Source organism: Homo sapiens, chromosome 18, assembly GCF_000001405.40.
Source record: "Homo sapiens chromosome 18, GRCh38.p14 Primary Assembly".
NCBI classification, from domain to species: domain Eukaryota; kingdom Metazoa; phylum Chordata; class Mammalia; order Primates; family Hominidae; genus Homo; species Homo sapiens.
Window position 1 is genome coordinate 64,928,515 of NC_000018.10, and position 16,412 is coordinate 64,944,926.

Here is a 16,412-nt window from a genome sequence, read left to right on the forward strand (position 1 = left end):
CTTCTCCCATTTTTAAAAAAGGTGCAAGCATATAGAGTAGCCATAAGTTATCTGTAAAATTGAGTAGATTGCATATAAAATTGATAAAACAAAACTAATAATTTTCTGTGAGTCTTAGCCCTGACATACTCTCAATATTGAAAAAATGCTATAATAGAATATTCATGATGAATTTTTGTGTAATTTTTCATTATTAACAGTAAGAATTAGAGTTTAACTCCTCTGAGATTTTAGAAATATCTGTGTTAACTTTTTTACATCGCTTGCTTTTGAACTCACACAAGAGGCAACCACAGGAGCATTCTGAACATTAAAACATTCAGAATGGCATGTCACCCAGCACTGCAGGGACAGTGTATTTCAAAGGAATTATGCTGAATGAAAAAAGCCAATTTCATAAGGATATTCTTATGATTTAATTTATGTACCATTTCTGAAATGACAAGATTATATTTCTGGAGAACAGATTAACAGCTGCCAGGGTTTACAAAATGGGGCCCTGGGTTCTACCTCCCTGTGTTGGCTTCACGGTCTTAGGCTCGTTTTCTTCCACATAATGGGCAGCATGACTACTGATATCTTTGTAGTGGCACTGTTCACAATTTCAACACCAGAGAAATTATCCCTTCCCTTGGTACTTAACAAAGATTACCACTACAATGGCCCCGTGTGAGTCACAGTTGCTCATCACAACTAGTTAAGTGTGGCTTCCAGAAAGATGACGGGTTGACAGTACCCTCTAGAACCATATGTTTAACATATGGGCAGGATCCTGGGCCAAATATTCTGTTTCTAAGACTACAGAGAAATGCTGGGCAGGGAAAATAATAGGAGCAATATGTGAGCATTTATTTAACTTCGTGTTTTTAAGTATAAAATCTAGAGTCAGATTAACTTGCTCCTAGCCTTGGTTTAAGTGCTTCCAATCTAAGTGATCTTGGGGCAATTAATTACATTCTCTGCCTCAAAATTTCTTATTCTAAAATTGAAATAGGGATAGAGTTTCTATGAACATTATATGAGATGGGAAATATGTGTAAACCACATTGAATGGTGCCTGGTACTCATAAATTATGAAAAAATTGTTAGCTTTTGTTATTATTAGCACAGCTCCAATTTGTACTGTACACTGTTGCATATTGATTAAAATACGAATGTCCCATGCCACAATTTTATTTGCATGACTCAAACAAAAACAGAAAAAACCCTACAAACTTAATTTAAGTACATGTAAAAATATTAAATTCAATGGAATTCATATAAATATTTACTTTTAAACAAATAGATTCTTTCTTTACTTGTCCAAGGATAAAAGATATATTAAGGGAAAATAATCTTAACTAATATCCAGTAAGATAAAAAGTTTGTTATGACACCTTTGTAGATGAGAAACACCCAGTGATTAAGTTTGTTATAAATTTTAAAGAGTATTAATCTATAATTATAGCAGTGATTATAAGTAATTCTATAAAATTATAAATCCAGAATGATCCAAAGTACTAAAAAATATAAATAGAAAAAACATATGATGGGAAATATTTCAAAATGTTAACTTGCTTACTTGTTACTTTGATCTGAGGAAACAACGACATTTTCACTACATTTATATTTTATAGTTTCAAATTTTTTACAAGTATACATTATTTAATATAAAGAAATTTATAAAAATTAAACTTGAAATGTTTTCTTACAACCTACAGGATGTCAAACATTTTTATAGAATTTACTCCTACTTTATTCATTCCATAATCCAGATATTTCATGAAAGACTTTTATTTCAATCATTCATTAGAGAATAAAAATTATTCCAGGTATCTTACGCAGGGCAGAAATGAACACAGGGAGTTGTCTAAAGAAATCATCAGGAAGGGTTTGCAGGAGCAAGCTCTTCCGTGGACACATTGACCTGGCACACCAGAGAAACCACGGCCCGAGGCTGCCACTGAAGTAGACGATAAGAAGCAGCAGAAACATGGGGACAACTGCCTCTTATGTCCATAGGATGGAGAATGAGAGGATGGATGTCTGTAGTTTCAATTCAAATCAGAGAGCCACAGCCATCCCTCCTGCAACTCAGCACTCAGAGGGATGCTGAAGGGATCCTGGTGTAGTTTTCTGGGTCATTGAGGGAATGTTTATATTCTTCCAAAAGCTTGCTGTATTGCAGTTAATTTTTACATTATTATTTTTAATGATAGCCTTTATAAGCAAACTGATGAGTATTATTCCAGTACAGACCTATACACAGAGAAAATCACAGCATATTATAGTCAATATCAGAAATTGGAATATAATACATATATAATAGAATAAAGATTCCATCAAATAATTGTGTCTCAAATTACAGGAGTTAGAGCAAAAGAAAAAAAATATGTAGTTACCTCGTTGACTCAGTTCAAAAGTTAATAAATTAGCTCTTCTTTGAAATATGGTGTATTAATAATTTTTCTCAAATATTCCTTTACCTTTAATATATGTAGATTTTTTCATATACTGCCTCTGTCTTCTGCAATTTTCTCTGTCTGTATTAGCTTAATTCTCTTCATGGAATACACCAGGAAAAATACAGGGAGCTTTTAATTTTCTCAGTATTTCAAGATGGACTTATTCTTCTTCATTAATATCCCCATTAGACTTCTCACAGTATTCCCTTCTACTTCAGGTAGCTTTATCATATTTAGTATATTCTTAGTTTTTCCCATGTATATAGTGTCATTCTATGTATAGTGCCTTTTCCAGAAAGTAAACCTGACTGTAAGGAAGCTGAATTCTCACCTTCCTCACTAAACTTGCATGGTGTCACATACTAATTGAAAGACTACCTGCCCTCCATCAAAATGCAGCATTTCTTCAACACCTTCCTAACTTTGGACTGAAAGCAATATGGCAAACAGTCCACTGATTTTCGTGATTGATTTGGCTGGCTGATCAAGTGTAAAGGTGGCTGTCTCCTCCCTTCATCACTTCATGTGTACACATGAGGTCAAGAGAAAGGAAAGCTTTTCCATAAACAAGTTCTGTTCCTCAGTCACTGGTCTTGACAATTTCTATCTCTTGCCAAAGCCTCCAAATATATTCTCATCAATCATGAATTGGCATAAATGCATTCCTATTTCATCCATTTTTATTTACTTTTAACATTACATATAATTTAGAAGATATTTTAAAGTACCTATATACCTTTATCTTCACATTCTTACTTCGGGGAGGCACAACTCTGCTGCCTTATATTATGAAATAAGATAGGCTAATTTCTGATTTTTAATGAGGTGTCTAGGAATAGCAACATTCAAAATTGGTTTATTAACATCTTCCTTTAAATGTTCCACAATAAAATTCATGGACAGTTATACATACTTAAATAACTCCTAAGATAAATGAACTTTCAATCATTCTTTATATGTTTACTCATAAAAGTATTTTGGTCTACTAGCAGTTCTATCAACTGCATTTATATGTAGCATCAGTGCATCTGGTTTCTAAAAATTGCTTTTGTTTCAATAACATTGTCTTTTCCATCGCATAAATAGTTGTATTATTTTCTGATAAATTTTATATGATTTTCTGATTTCAATATTGTAAACTTTTTAAGTCTAAAATACTCTTGTGTTCAGATCATTTATATAGGTCAATAACAACAAAAATATGTATTGACTGCCTAGCAGGCATTATTCTAGGTACTGATTTTATATTTATTTAAAAGTATTTTCCAGACTGTAGCAATGTTGATATATTACTTTTATAATGTAAAATATTCTTACAGTATTCTCATAGTTCCTAGGCATTAGAAAAGTAGTGTCCGATGTCATTATTGCATTGATTAATTTTACTTTTGCTTTACTTCTCATCTTTATGTCACTATTATAAATTAAAAATTGGCAGTTAATTGATGTCACCCTACTTTTTCACAGGAGATTTTCATTCCACTAAATAGATGCTAAATCTATACAGCCAAGAATTATTTCTACATTGTTCTATTCAATATAGCTTGTGCAGAATTTTAATTACCACACAGAATGCAGATTTTCCCAAGGGCACCCACTGTGGAAAATGTTTTAAATATAATCACAATAAATCTTCTTATCCTTATTACTTAAAACATTCATCATTAAAACTTAGGGTTTTCCTGAAATACTGTTCCTTCCAAATCTCATTTTAGAAAAGTCATGCATGAAGAGAACAATAATAAACTGAGCCCCCCAAAAATTTAGATAAAAGTTATGAAGACACTTTCATAGTCTGTCACTTACCATTGTTTCTGCAAGCCAAGGGCATTTTTTATGATTTTACAGTTACCTAATTTATAGTTTATAATATAGGAAAGTTCATTTATTCTCTAACTATATGAGCCTTAAATATCTTGGAGATTTTTCCTATGATTTGCCCCAGAAATTAAAAACAATTCAGGGGGAATGAAGAATGAAATAGAGAAATAAAGGAAGTCTGAAAATTCAGAAAATAAAAGTATAGTTTGGGCAAAGCAACTCTAACAATATTATCATGAGCCATCTATCTTTTTAAATAACAATAATAACTCATGGTAAAGCTCTATTTTTTTCTCATAAGGCTACTTTGAAATGCAAACACAAGCGGAAATAGTATTAGAAATAAGCAGTAATGGATTGTACCTATTTTACTAAATGCTAATGACAAATATGCTCACAACGGGCAGATGTGTGCCTTAAAAAAGTGGTCATTTTCTAAGATTATTAAAGTTTCTGAAAGCCATCCTTAGGCTTTCATAGGCTATAACTGCATTAAATATTAAATTTTAAGATTTTTCTTGACTATGGAAAAATCGTGGCCGGGCGCAGTGGCTCACGCTTGTAATCCCAGCACTTTGGGAGGTGGAGGCGGGTGAATCACGATGTCAGGAGATCGAGACCACGGTGAAACCCCGTTTCTACTAAAAATACAAAAAATTAGCCGGGCCTGGTGGCGAGCGCCTGCAGTCCCAGCTACTCGGGAGGCTGAGTCAGGAGAATGGCGTGAACCTGGGAGGCGGAGCTTGCAGTGAGCCGACATCGCACCACTGCACTCCAACCTGGGTGACAGAACGAGACTCCGTCTCCAAAAAAAAAAAAAAAAAAAAAAAAAGTTCAGAATCTATCCAGCATATGTAGTATTATAGGGTTAATGACCTTGAGTGGGAGAGCAACCAACGTCCACAAGTTTGTCATTAAAGACAAATACTTTCAAGTTTTAAAAAATAAATTATTCTTCCTTTTCTTATTTATTAGCTATCTTTTGCAAAAACTACAAGTCAACTGATGAATTAGTTAATTTATTTTAATGAGGTCAGTACAATAATCTGCGAAAGATAAAACCCCATTATGCACCATGACATCCTAAGCAGAAATGATATTCCTCGTGACAGCAATCTAGTAATCAAGCCTTGGAAGGCTTTAGCTTGGAAATTTGTTTTATTTCTTCCTGTTATGGACATTTTCAATTAAATATAAAGATATTTTTGCTTCACATGGTGGTTTTAAATTGGCATTTCATCATTTTATATATTACCGGTACTGGCTCTGGGTTATTTAGCATTTATTAATAATTTCCATTTTGACCTTTCCCAAGTTTTGCTATTTATTAGGTAGTTTTGCGCTATTGCAGAGATGACTGAGCAGAATTGGGGACTTTTTTTAAATCCCTTTTAAAAACTCCATACTTTAAATTATTTTTACATTGACCTTTAAAGTTGGGATATAGCTAAGATTTGAAAGTTCTGTTTAAAAAACTACCCTGCTGAAACATCAGGCTACCCCAAAAGTTCAAAACAGATTGGCCAGCCAAATGCTGAAAGCAAAGAAAAACTGGAAGGGAGTGGTGAGAATGAAGAAAGGAAGGGAGAGATGTCAGGAGGCAGAAGGCTGTTTGAATATTCACCATGACTATTTAATTTGTAAATCATTACTGACAGTGAGGACCAGGCAACATACTGGGTGTAAATAAATTCTCTTTGATGGAAAGTGATTTCTGAACACGTCTGGATATATTTGGTGAAGGGACATTTTATTTTCCCATGTCCATTAAATATTATCCATTCCACCTTGAATGAATAATTCTATTTTCATTTAGTTAATTTCATAAAACAGTTCAACTTTGTTACAGGTTAAAATCTGAGGGATCTTCAAGTTTTAAAGATGCAGTCCCTCACTGTTTTATGTTTGATGTTTGATTCAGACTTTGAGTCCTAATGTCAGAACTCACATTATAGCTCAAAGAGTCAAAGCTGTTTGACATGAGATCAGAAATACTATAATTACTTTACTTCAGTGGACAATAAAAGCCACAAACAGGACTAATTGCTTTGTGTTCTGCTGAATTTTATAAAATCGTCAAATAACACTTGTTTCCATTTGGAAATTTTCCTGACTGCTAACTTTTTACCAAAGCCTTGGCAACTGCAAGATGCTGTTTATTACCCGTGTTTTCTAATATTCAACAGCATTACCTTTTTCTTTATTAAAGTGTCATCCAATGAAAGAGATAAAATCTCTTTTTTTAATCAGGCAGCAAAGTGTAGTTGATTACATATAACAAAATGGTTTCATGTTTATAGAGCTCTTTAAAATAAAAAGCCACCACTGACTGAGATAAACTATAGTGTATGTTTACACTGTGTATAAGCAATTACTTGTGTGTCAATAAAGTTGCTTATAACGTGATGGCTGGTGCCAAAGAATTCAACTTTCATCAAAAAGCTATATTTTAATTTTAATCCAATTTATACTTTCTTCTCCTACCCTTAAAGTATGAAGAATATATCTTTAGTTAAACTTAGAAATAAGATGTTGAACCATGACTGATTATAAAGGCAAAACTATGAAACATACAGGCAGTAGCTTTCAGAAAACTTGTACCTATTTATTTATATTGATCCTGGATTTCAAAATTTAATCCTCTTCACTTTTATAGGGTATTTTGCCAGGTATGGTGTTAGGTACTAAGCAAAACACAGATATGAATCACAGTGAGTTACATGTGGCACTTCTGTTCTTAAAGCTGCCTTGGAACCACTGTCATTGTCTAGCAATATTTTCTCTATTACGAAAGGATTTAATGTTGGGTATCAACTTTTGTAATGTAATGTGTGGGGGAAGAAAAGAGTCATATCTATTTCCATGCATTAACTGTCATAATGTTAGAACTGGAGTCTAATGTTCTTTGTCATCACAGTTGTATTTTCTATTTTAAAAATAATTTGCTAGGGTGAAATTCACACAACATAAAATTACCCATTTTAAAATGAACGATTAAGTGTCATTCAGCATTTTCACAATATTGTGCAATGACCATCTCTCTCGAGTTGCAAAATATTTCCACAAAGCTTAGTAAAACTTATTCATTTAGAAGTTTCTCCCCATCCTTCCTCTCTATACTCTAACAACCCCCCAATCTGAGTTATGTCTCCATGGATTTATATTTCATATAGAATCTTACAATTTGCATCCTGTTTGTGTCTGGCTTCTTTCACTAAGAAGAATGCATTGGAGGATTTTCTGCCTAAGAACACACCTATTCACTGCTAAATAATGCTCATCCTCAAAATATTTGAGTGAAAAAAACAGAAGATATTGGTTCAGATAAACCTGGGCTAAATCTCTAAGTTTTTAATTATAATACTTGAAATATACTGTACATTATTCAACTTTTCTGGGCCTTGTATTAATACACACAATCTAGGAATAAATATGAGATAAATTTGAGCAATAAATAACTTAGTGTAGAATGTATAAACTTTGAGTAATAAGTGACCTAAAACCTAATAGGTCCTTCGCTGACTTCTGTTCCATTAGCAGAACGTCTGTTGTAGCAGAAATAAAATTGTTGTATCTTCTTCAAAATTCCATGATTTCATTGATATTTCCTGAAAAATATTTGTGTCAATACCTATTTCTATGTAAATAAGTAAACAATAGATATCACTATTTTCATTTATCGATTTTGTTATTTCCTATATAAGTAAGTAAACAATAAATATCACTTTTTTCATTTGTCAATTTTATTATTATTTTGATTTCTTATCTATGAAGATACACTTACATTTTTACTTCTTAAATTTTAGTAAAATGTTAGATTAATGAAAATTCCCCTTTAAAAAATCACATATCTATGTTTGGTTTGCAGTCCACTTTGTGTGAATTGTAATAATTTTGTTCATTCTGATTCATAAGATTTATGTAAATAGTGATAAAGTTCTTCCTTGGGAAACATTGTTTTCTAAGGACAGAAATTTTAACAAAGTAAAGCTATGTTGGGTCACAAGGCAGTTTCTGATTTACATAGAGATAATTATTCAAAATTACACACACAATAGAGCCGCTTTTAGCCAAGCTAAAGAAAAAGTCTACTTTATAGGCTTATTACACAAAGGAGAGCAGGGTTTTACTTTTATTAAGTGCAGACCTGATCTTTGCTCTTGAATATGAATGTGCTCAAGTCTCAGCCTCAATGTTATTCACCATATTCCAGAAGTAAAGACTTTAAATATAGACTGTGATAGTGAAGAACAAACAACTTAATTATCTGTTCTTATCAAATGGAGCTTGTCACCAAATAAAGCAAAATGAGAGTTAAAAAAAAAATTCAGCAACTGCTTTTTGGAAATTGTAAATAAGTCTCTTTCTCTCTCTCTCTCCCTACTCCCCCCAACCCCCCATGTCCAGGTATTAGTTCTCATGATTTCTCTCATGATTTTGTTTTTGTTGGATGCTTCCTTTGTTAAATTTTATTTATATTGTTTCTTTTTTCTAATCATTGCATCTATTTTAATTCATTTATTAGTTGATGACCCTTATATTTGTAGAAATTTTAGCTGTTCTATGTCTTTCACATGACAATTTTTTTTGAAATAAGTTTTATCTGAAATTTGTCAGAAGCTCATGAGAAAGAAAATATCTCATTTTATACCATTGTATATGATTTTATTATGGTCTTCCCTTAAGGAAGATCTCCCTCACACAAATATGCACACACACACACACACACACACACACACGCACATGCACACACAATCTCGCAAGAGCAAAATCGAGACGAGTTACTGATTAGTAAACTAGAAAGTGAAACATAATTTCTCTATTAGCATGGTTCCATACTATCAGTGCTCAAGTTATCTTTTCTATAAAATGTCATTCCTCTGGGATGAATGACCGCCCATAATCCAATTATATTTCAAAGTCACAGTTTCTTTTAAAATATTTAATAGGTTGATTTTTAAAGTTGAGGAATAGTTATGGAAACTTTTTACTGTTAGCCTTTACTCAAACTACACAGCTTGAGATTTAGTTTCTAAAATAAAAGTAACATCATGTAATTTTACTGTATACAGTTAGTAATATAAATAAAGTGTGTGATAAATGTTCCATATGTATGCTCCACATGTGTGCATATTAGAAAATGTTAATTTTCTCCCCTAGAAGAATATTTTATATATTCTACATCATGCTTCATTAAATTATGGGTAATGATAAAGTATATGTACATTTTATAAATTACACTTCAAAGGAAGATTATGCTAAAACTCAAATGTCTGCATGCTTATTACGCAGTTGTCTCCTATCCAAATTTTATTTGAAGGTTAGTTTTCTAATATAATTCCACAGCTAGGACTTTAAGGTCATCGTAATGGTAGAGTTGAAAAAAAAGTCTTCCACTCTTGACAGATGCAAAGGAAAGAGAAAGGAAAAAGCTAATTTAAATCTTATATAAACACACGTTAAAATAAAATAAATGGTTTTGGGGATGGTATACAAGCAACAAAATCAGTTTTGATATACCAAGTTATGAGAAAAAAAATCAAAAAGAATGCAGCTGTCATTTTGAATTATAGCCAAATAATGTTCTCTTCTCACTTTGAAAAAAAAAAAACTACCAAACAAAGAAGAGTGTGATGTGAGTCTGAAATGGTGAGAATTAGAGGTGAGAATTACCAAAGTTCCATAAAAATGGGGTTATCTAACATTTTAAAGCATTTGCAAAGGACTGTCTTAATATCAGAATTTGAAGAAAAATACTGCTACTGTATTCTAATTTTCCTTACATTATGGATTCTAGAATTTAATTTCCAGGGCATTGTACAGCTGCATCCATTACCGAACCTTATCATAATTATGAGACGAAAAAAATGCACTGTCAACAATTGTCTGTATGTGATGAGGCACTTATATTCTGATGTCTGGTTACCTTCTGCTTGTTAACCTTGTCGTGGAGGGCCTCTCTCCACGACAACCAAATGCAATCCACCAACCAAATGCAATCCACAGTAATTACTATAATTCAGCGGAGATATGTAGTCACTTGAGGCTGACCGTTTTACCCCCACAATCAACCTTCTGCAACTCAAGGAGAACACAACTATGGCCGGGCTCCGACAAATTAGGCATGAACAAATGTTTCACATTAACTGAGTTAAAGGACCTTGCTGAAAATTACAAGGGCTGCTTAGGAAAGCAATGAGTCCCATTATGGAAGTAATAGGTCTCAAAGCAGGCAGCTTGTTAGAGATTCATCTATAGTTGCAGGATGTAGACACCTTAGTGAAAGCGTCTCTGACCTGGACACTTTCAGACTCTGGGATGGTGATGGCAACACGGTCCTCTCTGGGAGATGTCATCAAAATCAGAAGCTGGAGACACCTCTCCTGAAATGTAATTAGAAAATTCAATGCTGCTTTTGCACTATCTCAAGCAATTTTACCATGAAAAATGTGAAAGAAAACAACCCTACACTTCACTCAGTTTAAAATCTCTCCATCTTCCTGGCAATACCTGATTTGAATTCATAGACTGCACATTACAGGCTATGTGTGGACATTTATACCTACAACAGGAATTATTTCCACATAACGATAAATAGACCTGAGATACGAGCACTTCTAAATAAGTGTCTTTATGGAATATATTATTTCAATATGCATTTTCCTCTCCTCCCCCTTCATTGGGATGTGGGTTAGAGGTTCCTATTCTTTAAACACGAATGAGGCTGGGCAGCACTCCATTTACCTCTTTTTCCCCCTGCTTTAGTGATAAGGTAATTCATTGGAAATACTGCTTCAACTATACCTTGTAATATTTTCTAATGCCTTGCTTTACTCTGAAAGAGTGCAAAGATTTATTCAAGTTCATTGTGTGGTGAAAAAAAAAATAAAATTGAAGTTGAGAGAGCAGAAGAAAAGATATAGGTAACATTCCCACATAAATATGTTGTTGATAAAGGAGTTTAACAGAAAATGGAGTCAGCAGGGGCCTGGACCATGCACCATCTTTATAAAATATAAGGCAACTCACCACTACCATCCTGCGTTTTACAGGTATCCATTAAGGGAATCTTTTTGTGTGAATAAACGGCCTGTAAATTCAAGTTTTTTATGTTCTATTTTTTGTAGTTTGACTTTAAAAGGTTCCTGTTTGATATCTTGTATCTTGTACTAACCATATATTTGTAGGGTGACTAAATATACTAACCATATATTTGTATGGTGGCTAAATTTTTTAAAAATGGTAAAATGGAGAAAAAAGAATTGATTATATAAGTGATCACAAATTTATCAGTTCCCCATTGGATATAGGTTATATAGTCTATACTTACGAATCTCTTTTTCTTTGGATCTGTGTACCTTCTTAGGTGAGCAAAATCACCCAGTTTATCTTCCTTCTCTCACCTGTTTGTAAAAAAAAAATCTTCCTGTGAAGAGATTCGTAAACTGCATTGAACTTATGTGTCAAAGTTTGAATAATGGGGAAAGTCTTTGTTCATAAATATAGTTGATGTAAATACATCATGTAGTTGCAGGTTTAAATAAACAACCCACAACTAAACTGATAACTATAAAATATACTAATAGTAATTTATTATTAGAAATCAAAGATAAGAGTAATTAAAAATTGTGGCATACTCAAAGCACACTGATGACACTCAAATACTAAAATTGCCACTATCCTGAGCCTACATTTATAGGAAGAAAAATGCACCTTTCTTAACAGAATATTGAAGTTGAAAAGTATCTGGTAATATACCAATTTCTACTATAAAATACTTGTTTAGAGGCTAGCCAGTTAGTAGTCTTTATTGGTACATAAAATTGTAACTCTATGGAATTGTGCATTGTTAAATGCTAAGAATTAGGGAAGGGATTTGCATTTTAGATGACCTTTGGGTCACCTTTTAGACACGCAATATACGTTCAGAATCAATGTATCTCCAAACCATGGAATCTTTGGATAATTGTTGTAACTTTGAACCAGTTATTTTGACATCAGGTAAAAATAACCATTCTGTTGTTTCTACTTATCACTTATACAAAAATAAAATGCGAAAACAGTTAGTTTTGTTACACTATTAAATCTCCCTAAGATGGGTCATTTCTTTCATTCAGGTGTGCTTTCATTCCCCTCTGTGAGACGTTGCCATTTATTTCATAAGTAACACACATTTTCTGTTAAAGTTAAGTGTGTATATTTTAGGCTCATTAGTGTTGTTGCCAGGTTCATTATCAAACTGGTTATTGTTTGTTTGTAAAATTATTCAATTGTGCATTTCCTAACTTCATAACCAGCAACCATTCTGAATTTTCCACTGTATTTCTTTTCTGAAAGATTTTTAGAGATGACTGGAGTTCTACAAAAATAATATACATACGTACAGTTTTAGTTTCCTATTTGCAATATTTGAAGCACTTATTTCACATTTTATATTTGTAATTATATTTTAGATAGCATTTCAAGAAAAGTTAAATCAATGGACATTAATGTCTTACTCCTGACTTTATATTCCATTATTTATAATTATCTTCTTTGCTGTTATGTATTTTATAACTTATTGAGGAAATATTTATTAATTTCTATATTTTATAATGAGGTTGCTAAACTTCTTAAAAGGTTGTTTGAGAAATAATACATGCATTTCAGAACTTTCTGTACTATTTTATTCTGACCTTTTGACAAGGAAAAACACATCAGTGAATTTTAAATTTTGAACTATTCTTACGTGCATGGAATGATGATAAGATTAATTTTGGAGAAATGATGAGCTCATTTTCATTTGCAGGTGGGAAACTTGGATATGTCAGGCAGAGAACCCAATTTTTGTGCAGGAGGAGAAAGTGTGTAGTTAGGAAAGATGGGCATATGTTAAAATTAGACCTACAGTAAACTTTTAAAGATGTCATTTATGTATATATATTCATGTAATTTCAACATGCTATTTATATTTAGATCATTTCTATCTTTTAAAGTCTACTATTCCAAGGAAACATTCAGAAATCACACAATTTTTTTCTCTCTTATCGCTAGAGTAAATGTAGGCAATTTAGATTCCACTGCCTTAGAGCCACCTGCATCAGTCTTTGTTTCAAAGATGAAGACTTTTAGTAAGAGTGGAGGAGCATTCATTGAAGCAGTAGCAGCTTCACCTATATGGTCTCAGAACACTTCTCATTAAAACCATTTGAATCTCTTCCCTGGGGACTTTTCTCCTCTTGTACCAGATGTGCCCCTCCTTCCCACAGAGGGGGTACATTAAGGTAAATATGGTTCATAGAGAAATCTTGTGTTTAGTGATTTTTTTCTTGCAGTAAATGATGATGATGATGATGATGATTTTTTTAAAGCTAAACTTGCTCAGTTTCTACCTATCTAAAGTTATCTGTCTCTTTCTCTTATTCTCTAAGAATTTCTCTAGCCTGTACCCTATAAAGAGTGTGTGACTACTCACCTTTTTCAATTTTATTTTGCCTGCCACTCTTTGGCATGTAACAGATTTTAGTTAAATTCCCATTGATGCAGGTAGGCAGGCCAGCCCCATAGTTGGGGCTTAGCCCAGGAGGGTGCTTGGCTTTGCCCAGGAAAGAGTTCAAGGGTGAGCTGATGTTAAACAGCAATCTTTTATTGAACCAGAGCTACTCCTTGCAGAGCAGGGCTAACTCATAGGTGGTGCATACAGAGCAGCAATTGTGCACTTGTGGACTGTTGGCAACTGTATTTACACCCACTTATATCCACTGTTATTTACATGCAAATTAAAGAGTGGGTTAATGCAAATTAAAGAGCAGGATATTCAGAATTTTCTAGGAAGGGGGCAGTAACTTCTGGGTTTGTAAACTATCAAGATGCTGGTGGAAGTATCTTATACTAATGAACAATGAGTGCAGCTAGGGATCATTTTTGTTGCCATCTGTTTGTTTTGACTGTTTTTTTCACTTCATCCTGTCAGGATCAGGAAATAAGTTCTGCCAGTCTCCCACCTCATTCCCCCTTCAGAGATCAGATACTCCTCCATGAAGTTAAGGGGGCTGCAGAATAGCAGAGGCCTATCTTCTCTAATTTTTTTCTTCCGGGTTTATAAGCATAGGCCCTGCTTAGGAATGAAGGAGTAAAAATCTCTGGATACCTGATTTAAGGGACCCAGTAGCAGGATGTTTTCATTCTCTAGGTCAGAAGAAGGGAAGGATTGGAAGCCTTCTGCTAGCCTTGTCTTTATATGAAATTGTTGGAGTCTAGAAGACCCAAACATTACAAGGAGTTAAGCAAGAGCCAAATTTTAGTAGTAAAAAGATAGCTCTTGAAGGTCCTAGGAAGGGTAAAAACCAGGTGACATTAGTGAAAGCACTTTTGATAGTGGACGAGATGTAGTGGGGGCGAGTGCCCTGGTTATATCTATGTAACCAGGTGGCTTGCTTATAGATCTTTTGGATGTTAACCTTAATTTGTCTATAGTGATTCATATAAATGCAGCAGGTCTTATTAATAACTTCACAGACTCCACCCAGTTCAGCTAGTCAATAATCCAATGTCAGTCTGTTGTCAAGGACTACATTTACCAAATAATCTAGGGATCCTTGAAGTTCCTTTCATGCTTGACCTGTGCTGGTGGCCAATAATATTAGAGCTTTTGTCAAATTTCTTAGGGGTGACTCATGGTAAGTAAAGTCACTCCAAGGGGATGCTGGTCCTATTGATGCCCTAATTCCTGCCAGAATTAATCTTATTAATCATTTATTTTTATTTCTGGGTATTATGGGTTTATAGATGGTGACCCCCAGAGAGGCAATGGTGGCCAATGTATATTTACCCCTGTTTCGAGTTTTTAATATGCAAGGGATGACAACTCTTAAAGAAATAGGTGGCTCTTGAGGGAGTCAAGAGTGGGTACAGAGTGGAATTTCTTCCCACTCATGGCCACAAACAAAAATGAGCCCAGTTGGCACACAAATTAGGCCCTATTGAATGTGATGTCTCTCTGCTGAGCCAAATTGGCTCTCTATAGATATTTTTCCCTTGTCCAATGGTGGTAGTTGAACAATCTTTGTTTTCTAGAAGAGGGCAATGGTGGTAGTTGAGCAATCTTTGTTTTCTAGAAGAGGGCAGTACTCCCACCTTCCCATATCAGGCGGTTGTTCTCTGGTGCATGTTTTGATCCAGGAGGAGGCATGATGTACATTTTCCTTGCGTATAAGTAGGATTTTATTTATCTCCTTGTGGTCTTGGGAATTTATCCACTAGGGCAAGGAAGCTTTCTCTTTTGTGTATTCACACAACAATGAATACAAAAGATAGTATCATTACTGCACTGAAGATATAGATACCCGACTTCCCAGGTCCAGATAATAGTGGTGTTGTGGATAAGGTGGAATCCTTTCAGTGGGAGAGACTTCCTCTTAACAAATAGGGTTCTGGGTAATTTGGGATCACCATGATTAATGAGAAGGTCTGGAGAGAAGGTCATGAGATTTTCCAGATGTGCCAGGAAGTGGAACTCTATTTTGGGGATAGAGATATGCCAAATGTGGAAGAAGGTTGATAATAGATCCAACATCCCTGAAGATGATTCCCTTTATGAATGCTATAAATTCTGAAACATTTATTATGAAGTCTTTTCCCCCTCCTACACTGTATTAGGTTAATTGGAGAGCAAGAGGATTAGTAGAGGCAGCATGGTGTCTAGTTGGTCCTTAGAGTGGCTTCTATTCTCAAAGAGGACAAAAGAGGTGTTTCCCTGGAGGAGGCAGTTTGCCAGAACAGTAGAAAAGGAGAAGAGAAAAATTAATGCTCCTGTGCCCACACACAACATCATGCTACTTATTGTACACCTGAGAAAAAAACAGCTTTAAGTCTTCTTGGGATTCACATGTGTAGGTCCTGATATCATCCTGTCATGCCTGTGGGGACTCATAAAAAACTGTTTTACCCCAGACAGGTGTACCCACCTAGTGATTCCCTAAAATCTAACAGAAGTGGGGATCTCTAACAATACTTTATTAGTCCATTCTCATGCTGCTAATAAAGACATACCTGAGACTGGGTAATTTATAAAGCAATGAGGTTTAATTGACTCACCATTAAGCATGGATGGGGAGGCCTCGGGAAAATTACAATTATGTAAGAAGGGGAAGCATTTATGTCCTTCTT

The 16,412-nt window shown here is 34.1% G+C and overlaps 2 long non-coding RNA genes across 7 annotated transcripts in view; one reads left to right on the forward strand and one right to left on the reverse strand.

The window, feature by feature from the left end:
* LOC107985178 (uncharacterized) overlaps positions 1–16,412 on the forward strand; it is a 125,185-nt gene that overhangs the window by 102,057 nt on the left and 6,716 nt on the right. The window lies entirely within an intron of this gene.
* LOC101927404 (uncharacterized) overlaps positions 1–16,412 on the reverse strand; it is a 121,424-nt gene that overhangs the window by 56,901 nt on the left and 48,111 nt on the right. For 4 of the 6 annotated variants that reach the window (XR_935579.3, XR_001753478.1, XR_935580.2 and 1 more), the window contains exons 2-3: positions 11,596–11,668; positions 10,562–10,648 (exon numbers count right to left, since the gene is read on the reverse strand). This is a non-coding gene — a long non-coding RNA (uncharacterized LOC101927404). Of the gene's footprint in view, positions 1–1,866; positions 2,239–6,924; positions 7,874–10,561; positions 10,649–11,595; positions 11,669–16,412 lie in introns of those variants that run through there. The other 2 variants (XR_001753479.2, XR_245477.3) reach the window with 2 other exon arrangements.